Source organism: Homo sapiens, chromosome 11 (genome assembly GCF_000001405.40).
Source record: "Homo sapiens chromosome 11, GRCh38.p14 Primary Assembly".
NCBI lineage: Eukaryota > Metazoa > Chordata > Mammalia > Primates > Hominidae > Homo > Homo sapiens.
In genome coordinates this window covers 17,085,367-17,102,439 of record NC_000011.10, presented here as the reverse complement: position 1 = coordinate 17,102,439, position 17,073 = coordinate 17,085,367, and the positions used below count along the sequence as shown (strand labels likewise).

The following is a 17,073-nucleotide window of genomic DNA, read 5'->3' as shown; positions in this document are numbered from 1 at the left end:
TTTGAGACGGAGTCTTGCTGTGTCGCCCAGGCTGGAGTGCAGTGGCACGATCTCGGCTCACTGCAAGCTCCGCCTCCCGGGTTCACGCCATTCTCCTGCCTCAGCCTCCTGAGTAGCTGGGACTACAGGCGCCCGCCACCACGCCCGGCTAATTTTTTTGTATTTTTAGTAGAGACGGGGTTTCACCGTGTTAGCCAGGATGGTCTCGATCTCCTGACCAAGTGATCTACCCGCCTCGGCCTCCCAAAGTGCTGGGATTACAGGCGTGAGCCACCATGCGCAGCTAAACTTTGTTGAAATGAATTAAGGGACATATATTTTTTTTATCTACTTAGCGATAACTCTTAGAAAGAAATGATTTCGTGTGTATAACGGCAGTAAGTAGTTTTCTATGTTTGTAACTACTGTTTGATCTCTTTGGGTATGTGGATTTATAAATATCACCTTATTTTCATATGTAAGGAAATTTCATACATAAGTTCTCTCTAAATAATGAGATTATTATGTGATAGCTTTCTTGAAAAATGTTATTTTAGAGGCCGGGTGCAGTGGCTCACGCCTGTAATCCCAGCACTTTGGGAGGCCAAGGCGGGCGGATCACAAGGTCAGGAGATCGAGACCATCCTGGCTAACACGGTGAAACCCCGCCTCTACTAAAAATACAAAAAATTAGCCGGGCGTGGTGGCGGGCCCCTGTGGTCCCGGCTACTCGGGAGGCTGAGGCAGGAGAATGTCATGAACCCAGGAGGCGGAGCTTGCAGTGAGCCTAGATCGCGCCACTGCACTCCAGCCTGGGCGACAGAGCAGGACTCTGTCTCAAAAAAAAAAAAAAGAAAAAAAAAGAAAAATGTTATTTTAAAATTATGGAAATTCAAAAGTGTGTGGTATTAAGTTTCCTAGTTGGAAATGGCTGTACCTCAGATAGCTTAGTTTAATAATCATGTAATAGCACTATTGGAGTATCTTCTGTAAATAATATTTTGTATGTACTTTCATTTTAAATAGGGATCGGGCTCCTTTTGTGCTGACCTCTGATATGGCATATGTCATTAATGGGGGTGAAAAGCCCACCATTCGTTTTCAGTTGTTTGTGGACCTCTGCTGTCAGGCCTACAACTTGATAAGAAAGCAGACAAACCTTTTTCTTAACCTCCTTTCACTGGTAACTATTCTTTATAAGCACTTAATTAGTTTTATATTAATGCATCTATGTTTCAATACTTAAAAAAGATTATTTTGTGATTTTGGAATAAAATTTGCTTTAGTCACAAATGTCAGATACATTATTGCTCAGATATTTTAAACTTACTGCCGTGTGAAATAAGCCAGACACAAGAGTACCTACTGTCTGACTCCATTTGTATAAAATACAAAAAATAAGTCAGTAGAGTGGCTCCCCTTGGGATGGGAAGTATTAGTAGCTGGACCCCAAGGCAGGCATCTGATATGCTAATGAATGTTTTGTGTATTAATATGGGTGTGAATTGTCAACATTCACTCAGCTGTACAATGAAGATTTCTGTACTTTCCTGGGTATATATTATCGTTAAGTAAAAAGTAAAAAACACGAACCCACTATGATTATTATGAGTAAATTGATATGGTAATAAACAGAAGGCTACAATTGTCTTAAGTGAAATAACTCAGAAATAGAAAGTTAAATATTGTGTGTTCTCACTTATAAGTAGGAGTTAAATAATATGTATACATGGACATAAAGAGTAGAATAATAGACATTGGAGACTTGGGAGGGTAGGAAGGGGGATGGTGGATGGGAGATGAGAAGTTACTTAGTGGGTACAATGTATACTATTCAAGTGATGCACTAAAAGCCCAGACTTTATCACTATGTGATACATACATGTACCAAAATTGTACTTGTACCCCCTAAATCTATAAAAGTAAAAACAGTGGCCTAGGCCAGGCGCGGTGGCTCATGCCTGTAATCCCAGCACTTTGGGAGGCTAAGGCAGGCGGATTGCTTGAGGTCAGGAGTTCGAGACCAGCCTGGCCAACATGGCAAAACCCCATCTCTATCAAAAATACAAAAAAAAAAAAGTTCGCCAGGCATAGTGGTACGTATCTGTAATCCCAACTACTCAGGAGGCTGAGGCAGGAGAATTGCTTGAACCCTGGAGGCAGAGGATGCAGTGAGCCAAGATCGCACCCGGCTCCCTGCCCCCCCCCCCCGCCCCCAAAAAAAGAGCCTAGACAAAAGGAGATCTGGATCTCACAGGTTTAATTCTATAAACTGGGTTTTTGACCACCACCAACAAATTGCTTGACTTCCTTGGTGTCCATTTCCTTATTTGTTAGATAATCACCTAGGTCCCCAATACACTAATGAACCCCTCAAGACTGATTATTTTTGTTTGCTTTAGTTCTGATTACTTGAGCAGCCCACAGGAAGGAGTGAGGAACAAATGTTTTAAAAAATTTAACTCACAGAACTTTTTGTTTTCTTCTACAGATGATTCCTTCAGGGTTACCAGAACTTACAAGTATTCAAGATTTGAAATACGTTAGAGATGCACTTCAACCCCAAACTACAGACGCAGAAGCTACAATTTTCTTTACTAGGTAAAGCATATTTAAGTATATTGCAGAAGGAACATAAAATATTGCTTTGATTTGTTTTACCTTAGTTTAAACAAATGCTATTTATCAAAATTCTAATTTATAGGAACAAATTCTGATTCATAGTAATTGCACATAGTAGGCTGTCAAAAGTTGATTTACTAATAAATACAAAGGATTTGCAATAATATTTTTTAAAATATACTTATTTGCCTCAAAATATCTCAAGGTTTATTTAATATGTAATTTCAATGATAAAAACATATTTTTCTACAGTGCCATGTGCCATTTTAAAATCTTTTTTAATTTTTTATTTTGAGACTGAGTCTTGCTGTTTCATCCAGGCTAGAGTGCAGTGGTGCAATCTCAGTTCACTGCAACCTCGCTTCCTGGGTTCAAGCGATTCTCCTGCCTCAGCCTCCTGAATAGCTGGGACTACAGGCGCACACCACTAAGCCCAGCTAATTAAAGTCTCTTTCTAAAATGTTATCTGTACTAATCTATTTTTCAGGATTTTGTCTTAACAATTTCCATGGAGACCTTTGGTGTTTTTAATCCAGCAAACCCTGGTCACTGCTGCAAGTAAACTATTACATGGCATAGTACTTGAAACACATATACCAATGACTGGTACTTGAATTTGTTATTGCTTTAAAAACAGATCTTCCAGCCAGGCGCAGTGGCTCACGCCTGTAATCCCAGCACTTTGGAAGGCCGAGGCGGGCGGATTACCTGAGGTTGGGAGTTCAAGACCATCCTGACCAACATGGAGAAACCCCGTCTGCACTAAAAATACAAAATTAGCCGGGCATAGTGGCGCATGCCTGAAATCCCAGCTACTCAGGAGACTGAGACAGGAGAATCGCTTGAACCTGGGAGATGGAGGTTGTGATGAGCCGAGATTGCGCCATTGCACTCCAGCCTGAGGAACAAAAGCGAAACTCTGTGTCAAAAAAAACAGATCTTCTTGACAAATATGTTCTAAAGGTCTGGTGATCAGGCTGGTTACTGACTGCTGCTGCCACATCATCACAATACCACAGCAGGGAGGGGTACCTGAGCTCATGTTCTTTTCTCTCCTTTTTCTCTTGCCTTCTTCCTCTCAGTGGAGAAGAGGTATAAAACACTGACTGGACTTCCCTAGTCTCAAGAGTCTGGGCTGAAATGAATTGAAGGAAGCTGACTTTTGTATAGCCTTCCAAACTAATCCTGACAATTTAGGTATTGATGGGTTTTCTTTTGCTTTGTTTTTTAAGAGAGATTCATTGGCTCCCCTGGGCAAAACCACAAAGCAGGCATGTATTCGTCTGCCTGCTTAGACTTCCATAACAAAATACTATAGACTAGTGGCTTAAACAACAGATATTTATTTTCTCACAGTTCTGGAGTCTATGAGGTCCAAAATCAAGGTGCCAGCCAATTACATTACTGTTGAGGGCTCCCTTGCCAGATTGCAGATGGCCACCTTCACAGTGTGTCCTCACATGGTAGGGAGAACTAGCTCTCTCATCTCTTCTTAGACGGACACTCCTATTGGATTAGGGCTCTACTGTTTATGGCCTCATTTAACCTTTATTACTTCCATAAAGGCCCTATCTCTAAATACAGTGGCAGTGTTGGGGCTTCAGCATATGAATTTGAGGGAACACAAACATTCAGTCCATAGTGGGGCAAAAGCCTGTGTTTGAGATTCTCTCACTTCTCTTTTTGAATATCCTTCTTCTTTCTAGCTTCCTTAACCTTGTTTCTGAGACTTATTTCCTTTGCTTGCCTAAAATGTTCTTTCCAGACCTACTTTCCATCCTGTCAAAACTTCTTTTTCCAACTGAATGAAAATATGATTACCTGAAGGAGTCTGACACTGAATTCTACAGTTCTACTGTTTGATAGGAGAGAATTTTTAAAATTTGGATTACTTTGTTTTTGTTCTTTTGTTTTTGTGGTTTTTTGGAGACAGTCTCACTCCAGCACCCAGTGTGGAGTGCAGTGGCGCAATCTCAGCTCACTGCAACCTCTTTCCTCCTGGGTTCAAGCAATTCTCCTGCCTCTGCCTCCCGAGTAGCTGGGATTATAGGCGCACACCACCACACCTGGCTAATTTTTCTATTTTTAGTAGAGTCAGGGTTTTGCCATGTTGGCCAGGCTGGTCTCGAACTCCTGGCCTCAAGTGATCCGCTCCCCTTGGCCTCCCAAAGTGCTGGGATTACAGGCGTGAGCCACCGTGCCCAGCCCTTGGATTACTTTCTTTCCCACCTATTTGTCATCTTTCTCCTTTATTAAAAGGAAATAAAGTAATGAAGTCATCTTTTTAGCATTATACCAATCATCATCTATCTATAATAGCTCTTTAATTAGTCTTGGGGACCCTACAGGGTTCAAGAAAACCAAGCATGAATTCTTTCTTGGGCTAAATTATTTTGTTGGGGTGAGATGTGTTTTAACAAACCTTTGGCCTGTAGAACAAAGGGAATCCTTGGCAAAGTGACAATCTGCTTAATATTTTTAAAGGAATGAAAGTGGTTTTTGTCATTTATTACATTGAAAGAATTTACCATGTGTTCTCATTTACTGTTAACGAATTTTCTGATTATTTTGTAGGCTTATTGAATCAAGTTTGGGAAGCATTGCCACAAAGTTTAACTTCTTCATTCACAACCTTGCTCAGCTTCGTTTTTCTGGTCTTCCTTCTAATGATGAGCCCATCCTTTCATTTTCACCTAAAACATACTCCTTTAGACAAGATGGTCGAATCAAGGAAGTCTCTGTTTTTACATATCATAAGAAATACAACCCAGATAAACATTATGTAAGTTTGATTTCAATATTCATAAACAATCATGCATGTATTATTGTTGTCCTTTCTACTTCCTTTGCTGATTCTGCTAAAGTTGCAAGCATTTGTTCTATTCATGCTTGTTTCTTTCATGAATGGTCCATAAATAAGTAAATGTACTTGAAGCATCCCTAACTTTTTTGGTATTTAATTCTTGCTATATTTGCTTCAAACAATAAGGACCGAGTGGTAAAGTGTGCTTGTTGTAACAAATTTAATCAATAGAGAAGTATGTAAAGTAAAAAGTCAAAGTTCCTATTCCAGTCTCTGATACAAAACACGCACACATTGTCTTTGAACAGATACAGGAACTTCAGCATGCTTTTTCCTCTTCGAGACTGTAGTGTTATCTTTTTTGTTGCTACTTTTCACCCTTGTGCTACCTTTTTTGTTAGATAATACTTTCCAGAACTGCCAGTTTTTAAATTTTTGGCAAATAGATAGTCTTTAAAAAGCTATTTTACTACTGTTTTTCATCTATTCTGTTAATAAATTTTAGTATCTTTTTGTGTGTTTATTAAAGTTATCCTAACACCATTTTATTGCATAGTCCATTCTCTCCCCAATATATACTACTACCTTTAAGTTTATATATATATCCCCAAATTTGTTTCTGGCCTGCTATAGATAGATCCTACTTGGCACCAGTATTATATGCTTTAAAGTATTGTAACTTTATAAAAGTTTAAATAGGCCGGGCGCAGTGGCTCATGCCTATAATCCCAGCACTTTGGGAGCCCGAGGCAGGTGATCACCTGAGGTCAGGAGTTCAAGACCAGCCTGGCCAACATGGTGAAACCCCGTCTCTAATAAAAATATGAAAATTAGCTGGATGTGGTGGCATGTGTCTGTAGTCCCAGCTACTCAGGAGGCTGAGGCAGGAGAATCGCTTGAACCCGAGAGGCAGAGGTTGCAGTAAGCCAATATTGTGCCATTGCGCTCCAGGCTGGGCAACAGAGCAAGACGCTGTATCAAAAAAAAAAAAAAGTTTAACTAGCCAGCAAAACAAGTTTTCCTTCACTACCCCCCATAAACCTTTTGCCTTTTTTTAACTGACTTTTTATTTATTTTTATTTTATTTTATGTTATGTTATTTTATTTTATTTTATAAATATAAAAGAGTCTCACTCTGTTGCCCAGGCTGGAGTGCAGTGGCGCAATCTCGTCTCCTGAAACCTGTGCCTCCCAGGTTCAAGCAATTCTCATGCCTCAGCTCCTGAATGGCTAGCTGGGACTACAGGCATGCGCCAGCACACCCGGCTAATTTTTGTATTTTTAGTAGAGATGGGGTTTCGCCATGTTGCCCAGGCACATGGCCAGGCGAATTCCTGGCCCCAAGTAATCCACTCATTTCGGCCTCTCGAAGTTCTGGGATTATGTGAGCCACCATGCCTGGACTATTTTATTTATTATTTATTTTTTTATTTTTTTATTTTTTTGAGACGGAGTCTTGCTCTGTTGCCCAGGCTGGAGTGCAGAGGTGTGATCTCAGCTCACTGCAAGCTCTGCCTCCCGGGTTCACGCCATTCTCCTGCCTCAGCCTCCCAAGTAGCTGGGACTACAGGTACCCACCACCACGCCCGGCTCATTTTTTGTATTTTTTTTTTTTTTTTTTTTTAGTAGAGACAGGATTTCACCATGTTAGCCAGGATGGTCTCAATATCCTGACCTTGTGATCCACCTGCCTCAGCCTTCCAAAGTGCTGGGATTACAGGCGTGAACCACTGCGCCCGGCTGCCTGGACTATTTTTATTTCTACTTTTTGAGAAACGGTCTCGCTCTATTACCCTGGCTGGAGTGCAGTGATGCAGTGTTGGCTCATTTGGCTCACTTGGCTCACTGTAGCCTTGACACCTGGGCTGAGTTGATCCTCCCACCTTAGCTTCCCAAGTAGCTGGGGCTACAGGCATGTGCCACCACAGTTGGCTAATCTTTATATTTTTTATAGAAACAGAGCCTTACTATGTTGCACAGGCTGGTCTCTAACTCCAGGGCTGAAATGATCCTCTCACCTTGGCCCCTCAAAGTGCTAGGATTATAGGCATGAGCAACCGTGCCCAGCTTACACTTTTAAGTTCTAGTTTATCTATCTTAGGATGGTTATGATCACTCTTAAAATGTAGTTAGATGTGTTATAAATACAATGACTTATATTTGCTTTTTCCTATTGGTGACATATATATTACCAAGATAAAAGTACTTGAACTGCATATAACAATTAAGCTATAAATTTCTTTTCTGTCAGGAAAGGAGGTTTTTTTGCTTCTTGGTCTTTTAGCTAAGATCAATATAGGAAAGAAGGTTTTTTTGAGATGGAGTCTCGCTCTGTTGCCCAGGCTGGAGTACAGTGCCATCTCGGTTCACTGCAACCTCTGTCTCCCAGGTTCAAGTGATTTGCCTGCCTCAGCCTCCCAAGTAGCTGGGATTACAGGCACGCACCACTATGCCCAGCTAATTTTTGTTTGTTTAGTAGAGACGTGCTTTTACTATGTTGCCCAGGCTGGTCTCAAACTCCTGACCTCAGCTGATCCACCCACCTCGGCCTCCCAAAGTGCTGGGATTACAGGCATGAGCCACTGCACCCGGCCTGGAAAGAAGGTTTTAAATATAAATTTTATGTGTTTGTGGTGTGATTTCTTTTCAGATTTATGTAGTCCGAATTTTGAGGGAAGGACAGATTGAACCATCATTTGTCTTCCGAACATTTGACGAATTTCAGGAACTTCACAATAAGCTCAGTATTATTTTTCCACTTTGGAAGTTACCAGGGTATGTATTCATCCTTGTACATTAATCCTTTTTGTAGGAAACAACTTGTTATCAAATGTAGGTAGAAAGCTTTGTGTTAACACTTAGTAAGATATTATCGGCCATGTGTGGCTTATTTTCCTTTGTGTCATAAAGACCTAATACAAAAGCAGACATAAACAAGGAACTGGAAGTTTTTGTTGAATGAATAAATGATCGGGATGTTAAAATATGAGATTTTCAGACTTCTAACTCTTATTGAAGCTTTAACTTTGCTGTCTCTACCATAGTAAGCAACACAAGATAATAATTTGGCATCTTGGTTTTGAAAAAAGTCATATCCTGCCAGGTGTGGTGGCTCACAAGCTTATAATCCCAGCACTTTGGGAGGCCGAGGCAGGGAGATACCTTGAGTCCAGGAGTTGGAGACTAGCCTGGGCACCATGGCGAAACCCCATCTCTATAAAAAATACAAAAATTAGCTGGGCTGGTGGCACATGTCTGAAGTCCCAGCTACTCAGGAGGCTGAAGTGAGAGGATTGATTGATACCAGGATGTGGAGGTTGCAGTGAGCGAAGATCACATCACTGCATTACAGCCTGGGTGACAGAATGAGACCCTGTCCCCCCCCCCCAAAAAAAAAGTCATATGCTAAATCAGTGTAGAAATAATCTATCATGGGCCATACTGAGCTCCTCTGCTAAAAAAACTGAAGCATGGCCGGGCGCGGTGGCTCACACCTATAATCCCAGCATTTTGGGAGGCCAAGGCGGGCGGATCACGAGGTCAGGAGATGGAGACCATCCTGGCTAACACGGTGAACCGTCTCTTCTAAAAAATACAAAAAATTAGCTGGGCATGGTGGCAGGCGCCTGTAGTCCCAGCTACTTGGGAGGCTGAGGCAGGAGAATGGCGTGAACCCAGAAGGTGGAGCTTGCAGTGAGCTGAGATGGCACCACTGCACTCCAGCCTGGGCAACAGAGCGAGACTCCGTCTCAAAAAAATAAATAACAAGCAAACATCATCGAGACTGTCAATCAAAATCTTAGTTTTGTATCTGATACCCTTTGGGAGTCTTCAGTTTTAATGTAGCTCAATGACCAGTAGATTTCCTGTGTCGAGTTTTTTCATATTTTCTTCAGACTAGATTTCAAAAGTGAGGATGAGGTGAAGTGGGTATTAGAGTTTGTTTCCGTGTACAGTTTCATTTTTCCACTGCCACCAAAATAAGTGGAATTAAGATTATCCTTTCAGCACCTTACTTAGGCCTTATGTTATTATTTGTGGATTTTACTGGTATATGTAATATTTATGGCTGATTGAGTAGTGATTTTATTTTTTAGGGATCAGATCTGGATAAAATATTTATGAGTGATTAAACTTGAGAAGAAATATTAGAAAATAAGTATTAAGTAGGTACAAAAGTAATTGCGTTTTTTGCCATTACTTTTAATGTCAAAAACCACAGTTACTTTTGCACCAAGCTAATAATAAATATAGGAAATCAACACATACACCTTTTCAACCAAGGCTCATAAAAGGATAATGGGTGACTGAACGATGTCATCTCCAATACTTTGAAGAGAAATCACAAAAAATTACTTATTTTATTTTGAGACGGAGACTTGCTCTGTCACCCAGGCTGGAGTGTAAGTGATCTCGGCTCACTGCAACTTCCGCTTCCCAGGTTCAAGTGATTTTTCTGCCTCAGCCTTCCGAGTAGCTGGGATTATAGGTATCTGATTATAGGCATCAGCACGCTAATTTTTGTATTTTTAGTAGAGACAGGGTTTTATCATGTTGGCCAACCTGGTTTCAAACTCCTGACCTCAAGTGATCCACCCGCCTTGGCCTCCCAAAGGCCATGAGCCACCGTGCCCGGCCACAAAATATTACTTTATAATGGATTAAGACTACTTTGTCTTTAAGTATATATGAAAAAGTGTATTTCTAAGGAAATATTGTACTTATTTAAATCCCACTTGTTTTTGTTTTTCTTTTGTAGCTTTCCTAATAGGATGGTTCTAGGAAGAACACACATAAAAGATGTAGCAGCCAAAAGGAAAATTGAGTTAAACAGTTACTTACAGAGTTTGATGAATGCTTCAACGGATGTAGCAGAGGTAACCTTACTAAATGAGAAGTAATAACATCTTATACCTTTTGTGTTACATAATATTTAAACTAATGAATTGCTTTCTCTTTATTCTTAGTGTGATCTTGTTTGTACTTTCTTCCACCCTTTACTTCGTGATGAGAAAGCTGAAGGGATAGCTAGGTCTGCAGGTGAGATTATTTTTTTTCTCTTTATTGGTAACTCATGATCTGCAAGTCTGTAACTTCTCGATGAATGTGGTAGAATGACAGCAGGCTTACTAGCTGTAGTCTGAGAATGGGAGGAGAGTATTCTTTCTAAGCCAGTCTATTTCTGAATAAATATAACTTTCCTAATAGATGTGATTACTAAAGAAGTATAAATCAATGACCTATCAGGTTGTTTACTCCTTTTTCCCCTCCCTTCTGTCCGCACCACATGTGACAGTCTTGAAAATAAAGCAAAATCCTTTTATTGCAGCTTGAACCACTACAACCAGTAAATAAAGATGAAAATATTTGTATTTTCAGATGCAGGTTCCTTCAGTCCTACTCCAGGCCAAATAGGAGGAGCTGTGAAATTATCCATCTCTTACCGAAATGGTACTCTTTTCATCATGGTGATGCATATCAAAGATCTTGTGAGTGATTACAAAGAATGATGGTTGTAGAGGAAACCCTTACCTTGGTAGGAAGCATTACTATTAAGGGACTGCTTTTCTTTTTAGGTTACTGAAGATGGAGCTGACCCAAATCCATATGTCAAAACATACCTACTTCCAGATAACCACAAAACATCCAAACGTAAAACCAAAATTTCACGAAAAACGAGGAATCCGACATTCAATGAAATGGTAAGTTAAAATCATTTCTAGAAGTTTCCTTGGTTTATTATTTTTTTAATTTTCATTTTTAAGTTCTGACGTGCGTAAGCAGGATGTGCAAGTTTGTTACATAGCTAAACGTACCATTGTGGTCTGCATACCTATCAACCTATCACCTAGGTATTAAGCCCAGCATGCATTAGCTATTTTTCCTAATGCTCTCCCTCCCACCATCCCATCCCCCAACAGGCCCCAGTGTGTGTTGTCCCCTTCTCTGTGTCCATTGTTTTGAGATTTTAAATTTTAAAACATTTTAAGGCCAGGCGCAGTGGCTCATGCCTGTAATCCTAGCAATTTGGGAGGCCGAGGTGGATACATCCCTTGAGCTCAGGAGTTTGAGACCAGCCTGGGCAACATGATGAAATTCCATCTCTACAAAAAAAAAAAAAGAAAAAAATTAGCTAGGCATGGTGGCACGCACCTGTAATCCCAGCTCCTCGGGAGGCTGAGGTCAAAGGATTGCTTGAGCCCAGGAGGTCAAGGCCACAGTGAGTCATGATCATGCCACTGCACTCCAGACTGGGCAACAGAGTGAGAGACCCTGTCCCAAAAAAAAAAAAATTTTAAGTTTTTAGGTATCAGTTGCTGAACTATTTGTTATACAGTGTACACCAATAACAGTCCAATAGTATTTAACAAAATGATATAAAATAGAGCCCTCATAGACCTTAGGAGCCATAATTCAACTACGTTTCCAGTGTGTGAACCCCCCTCTATAATAGTCACAAAAAGTGGTTGTCTAGTCTGTGCTTAATTACTTCCAGACTATTCAGTTTGTCTTAGATCACTCCACCTCTTAGATGATTATTATTATTATATTATTTTATTTATTTTTAGAGGCAGAGTTTCGCTGTTGTTACCCAGGCTAGAGTGCAATAGAGCCATGTTGGCTCACTGCAACCTCCGCCTCCTGAGTTCAAGTGATTCTCCTGCCTCAGCCTCCTGAGTAGCTGGGATTACAGGCATGTGCCACCACGCCTGGCTGATTTTGTATTTTTAGTAGAGACAGGTTTCTCCATGTTGGTCAGGCTAGTTGTAAACTCCCAACCTCAGGTGATCTACCCGCCTCAGCCTCCCAAAGTGCTGGGATTACAGGCGTGAGCCACCATGCCTGGCCTCTAGTTTTTATTTTTTAGCTAATGATTAGTCTTGCTTTGTATCTCTCTATGTCAGACATCACAGGAATGATAGTACAATCCAAGACTCCTGAAACACAAAATGTCCTTCTAAAGTATTCAGACAAAACCTACCGGATGTGTCATAATCAGTGTCACTCATTGTGGTCACTCTTTGGCTAATATTCTCACGTTTTCACTTGAAATGTTCCAAGAAACCAAACAAACTTTAATTTGTGATTTACTGTTCTTTTTTCCTTTGTTGTAGCTTGTATACAGTGGATATAGCAAAGAAACCCTAAGACAGCGAGAACTTCAACTAAGTGTACTCAGTGCAGAATCTCTGCGGGAGAATTTTTTCTTGGGTGGAGTAACCCTGCCTTTGAAAGATTTCAACTTGAGCAAAGAGACGGTTAAATGGTATCAGCTGACTGCGGCAACATACTTGTAAACTAGTGAATGTTTGAGCTTTGGAAGCATGAACAGTTATAAACGTGCATGCATACATGCACACACACACAGACACACACACACACACTTGTTAATTTTGTATAGTATTTTTATACTTGGACAGAACTTATAAAGTTAAATATACTTGCTGCATTTCAACACATCTGTTGGACCAACAGTCACATAACTAACCTTTTTGAATTTTTGGAAGCCATTGCTGTTTTAAAGTCATTATGTAGAATGCTACAAACCCTAAACTTAATATATACTAATTCCTGAAAAAGACTTTGAGACAGTACTATGTCAGTTCAGCCACCTATTTTGCATTGTTTTCTATAAGGAGGCAAAGCATATGTGTTTTCCTGTTATGCACCTTTTATAGCCTTTACCACTGTGTAATGTTCACAAACACCAAAGTAAAGGAAAAATGCAGGATGTTACCGTAAAATCCAGCTGCTATTCATGGAGCTGAAAAACAAAGCACAAATAATAGATAGCTAAGTTAAGAACTACTAAGTAGTTTATAGAAGTAGGGAAAAACGTAATACTGCTTTTTATTCATGTCTTTAAAGCCTTTTTCAGAATAAGTGCCAATCACTGATGTTGTAAATAATGGTGCCTTAACTTTATATGCTTCCCTGGCACTTCGTTTCTGATTTTTTTCCTGATTTGATAAATAATTAGTACATAGTTTTCACTCACTTGCAGCTTACTAAAGACAAGAAATTATGTACATGTACTAATGTTTTTCCCACAAAAAAATCCTTTACTTCTGATGTATGAATTAGTTATCTAAATAGTTAAGCCTAATACCTGAATAAGACTCACCAATGTGATTGTACAATAAATTCTATCATTCCATTAAAATCCTACATTTATTCCCAGGAATGGTAATTTCACCTCCCTACATCTATACTCCACTCCCTCAGTAAATAAGTGAAAATTGTTAACCCATGTGCCCATTCCTGAGTAGGGCAGACTCTTCACAAGAGGCCCATGACAAGAATTCTAGGGTCCAGATTGAACTTTAATATAGACCTTTGTCTGTGTAGACCAGTTTGTCTTGTAAACTGTCTTACTTATGTGTGTAAACATTTTACATTCACATGAAAAGTTATTTTCCTTTATATAATTGGATTCAGAATCATAAGGGACAGGACTGAAATTATTCTACAGTAACCAGTAAGAATAAGATTCGGCCGGGCACGGTGGCTCCTGCCTGTAATCCCAACACTTTGGGAGGCCAAGGTGGGCGGATCACCTGAGGTCAGGAGTTTGAGACCAGCCTGGCCAACATGGTGAAACCCCGTCTCTACACAAAAATTAGCCAGGCGTGGTAGCGGGCATCTGTAATCCCAGCTACTTGGGGGGCTGAGGCAGGAGAATCGCTTGAACCCAGGAGGCGGAGGTTGCAGTGAGCCGAGATCACGCCACTGCACTCCCGCCTGGGTGACAAGAGCAAAACTCCATCTTAAAAAAAAAGAAAAAAAGAGTAAGATTCATTTTTATTAGTTACTCAACTTCAGACACAATTTTGTTAATTTGGATATATACATATATATAATAAGAACTCATGGTTAGAATAGAAATACAGATACTTTAAAAATGGTAATAGAAATTGTACCAATCAGGTTGCTGTGAGAAAACTGACAAAATATGCAATAAAGAATACCAAGAGAGAAAGGACAATCGCCAATTCAGTTTCCCAGAACAGAATTTTTATGAACTGCACAAATGTTTAATGTAAATGGTGATACCTACAGGGAAGAAATAGAAGAGTTGATAATATATCACTGGGACGGGGTGGGGGAAAGACTTGAAATTTTTGGTGCCTAACACTAATGGTCCATATGTAGTTAAACCCATGAGTATGGTATATGAATGTCTTTTTTAAATGTTAAAATGTGTTGTCTATTTAATGTTAATTAAAATGCAGATCAAAGCACCACCATTTGCTTTTTCCACAGATCATTAACATTTCCTTAAAGTATGTAAGTACCTTTGCAAATGCAAATGTACTAGTAATTTTCACTTAAGCTTTTGAGACCGAATTCCATTCCACCAGTTATCACTTAGCCACTGTAATTTAAAAACAAACAAACAAACAAAAACTGTCTTGGTAGAGGTCGTTAATTAGACTCAACATGTACTGCCTTTTTGCAGTCTATTATGACAGTGTCTTTTAGCACAAATAATAGAGCTAAAAAATGTCCTGTCACTTCCATTATAAGAAATCTGGATTCATATCTAAGTGTATATTATAATACTGTACAGTTAAGAGTTCAGAACAAGTGGTAATGTTTTCTCTTAATTTAACTCATTTTGTGCCTTCTTTACTCATTCAAACACACATACATTTTACATATAGTTTATTTCTTTATGAAATGCTAATCTTCAGCCCGTACCAAAAAGTAGAGTGGAGCCTCTTTGCACTACTACTATCAATAAATTTTAAATCAGTTGGATTTTTAAGCATTTTTTAAAAGCTGACATTAAAGTAAATCTAAAAAAAGTTTAACAAACTGGCCAAGACACTAATTTTTATGTATAATCACAATATTTTATACTCACCTTTATTGACTAAAAATAATTATGCTACATGTTGTCCTGCATCAGAAGAATTATTTCTTCTTGCCAGTGTTTTGGGATTTGAAGATAATGGTTCACTCAAAGAACCTATTATTTTCTCTACTGAGGAACCCAATGTAGAACTTGCACTGATATTTTTATTACTGCCTTTATATGAATCTATAGGTATCTAAATGTTAAGGCATGTATGATCTTTGATCATTTCTTTTTTCAAATTAAAGTTGTATAAAAGTTTCAATATCTTGCCTTAAATTAGTTGCCTATTCTTTCTAGGATTCAAATATTGTGACATTTAAAAAAGAAAACATTCACTTTTGAAACTTAGACTTCAGATCAAAAAGGACTGAACCCCCACTATCATAATCCATACATTCATTTCCATGTTGTTTGACTAGCAGTGCATATATGAATGAATATGGTAATTAATCTTACCTATAAGAACCAAATACTTTAATTATATTAAGATAGTGAATAAAGATGTATAATATTTTTATTAATACCTTGAATATATTCAGTGGATTGAATGTGACTTCATAACTGTACTACGATTGTATTAAAATATTTCTGGAATAAAAGAACTCTGCTATCATTTCTTTCCTTGTTGACATACTAACATTTTTGGTTCCAGACTTTGCAATGAGCTCACTCTTGATGTTCTTTGCATCTCACCCAGGAGTCTATTAGGTTTAATAATCCTGAATTTCAGAACTAACCTGTTAGTTGCCCCTAAAAATGTTCAAATAGAGATTCTGACTTCTGAGTGTTAACTCTTTTTTTTTTTTGAGACAGAGTCTTACTTTGTCTCCCAGGCCTGGAGTGCAGTGGCGACATCTCGGCTCACTGCAACCTCCATCTCCTGGGTTAAAGCGATTCTCCTGCCTCAGCTTCCTGAGTAGCTGGAACTACAGGCACACACAACCACGCCCGGCTAATTTTTGTATTTTTAGTGTAGCAGGACAAGCCGCAGACAAAACTCCTCAGACGCGGAGTTAAAGGAAGGGGTTTATTCGGCCGCGGGCATTGGCAAGACTCCTGTCTCGAGCCGAGCCCCCCCAGGGAGCAATTCCTGTCCCTTTTAAGGGCTCACAACTCTAAGGGGGTGCGTGTGAGAGGGTCGTGATTGATTGAGCAAGCCAGGGGTATGTGACTGGGGGCTGCATGCACCGGTAATTAGATCGGAACAAAACAGGGATTTTCACAGTGCATTTCTATACAATGTCTGTAATCTATAGATAACCCATTAGGTCAGGGGTCAATCTTTAACTACCAGGCCTGGGGTGTGGCACCGGGCTGTCTGCCTGTGGATTTCATTTCTGCCTTTTAGTTTTTACTTCTTTCTTTGGAGGCAGAAATTGGGCATAAGACGATATGAGGGGTGGTCTCCTCCCTTATTAATAGATGGGGTTTCGCCGTGTTGGCCAGGCTGGTCTCAAATTCCTGACCTCAAGTGATCCGCCCGCCTCGGCCTCCCGAAGTGCTGGGATTACAGCCACCACGCCGGGCCTGAGAGTTACTCTTTGAAGGTCTGGATTGCAACCACTTTGCTACAGTCCATCACTATTTCTTAGAAGGGAAATGCTTCTGTGAGTATAGTCCCTGGCCTTTGGTACTTAAGATATTAAGTAGTCCTGCAACAGTTATATTACAGACGTATCTACAGAACTGAGAAATGTGGATTCTTCTTATACAGTACCTTCATCCTGTAATGGTAACAGTGTGAAGGTGTGGTTCTCTGACCCTAAGATGACATGTGAAAGGGCCCAGAGACCATGAAAGAGCAGTA

At 39.7% G+C, this 17,073-nt stretch overlaps 1 protein-coding gene across 6 annotated transcripts in view; it reads left to right on the top strand.

Annotated features, from left to right (window-relative positions):
* Positions 1-15,865, top strand: part of PIK3C2A (phosphatidylinositol-4-phosphate 3-kinase catalytic subunit type 2 alpha) — a 121,412-nt gene extending 105,547 nt beyond the window's left edge. For all 6 annotated transcript variants that reach the window (NM_001321380.2, NM_001386870.1, NM_002645.4 and 3 more), the window contains 9 exons: positions 1,006-1,162; positions 2,471-2,580; positions 5,176-5,383; positions 8,055-8,179; positions 10,164-10,281; positions 10,372-10,444; positions 10,784-10,893; positions 10,981-11,106; positions 12,520-15,865. In NM_001321380.2, the coding sequence (NP_001308309.1) occupies positions 1,006-1,162; positions 2,471-2,580; positions 5,176-5,383; positions 8,055-8,179; positions 10,164-10,281; positions 10,372-10,444; positions 10,784-10,893; positions 10,981-11,106; positions 12,520-12,702 (1,210 nt within the window). In that variant the 3' untranslated portion in view covers positions 12,703-15,865. The remainder of the gene's footprint in view (positions 1-1,005; positions 1,163-2,470; positions 2,581-5,175; positions 5,384-8,054; positions 8,180-10,163; positions 10,282-10,371; positions 10,445-10,783; positions 10,894-10,980; positions 11,107-12,519) is intronic.
* Positions 15,866-17,073: the final 1,208 nt, after the last annotated feature.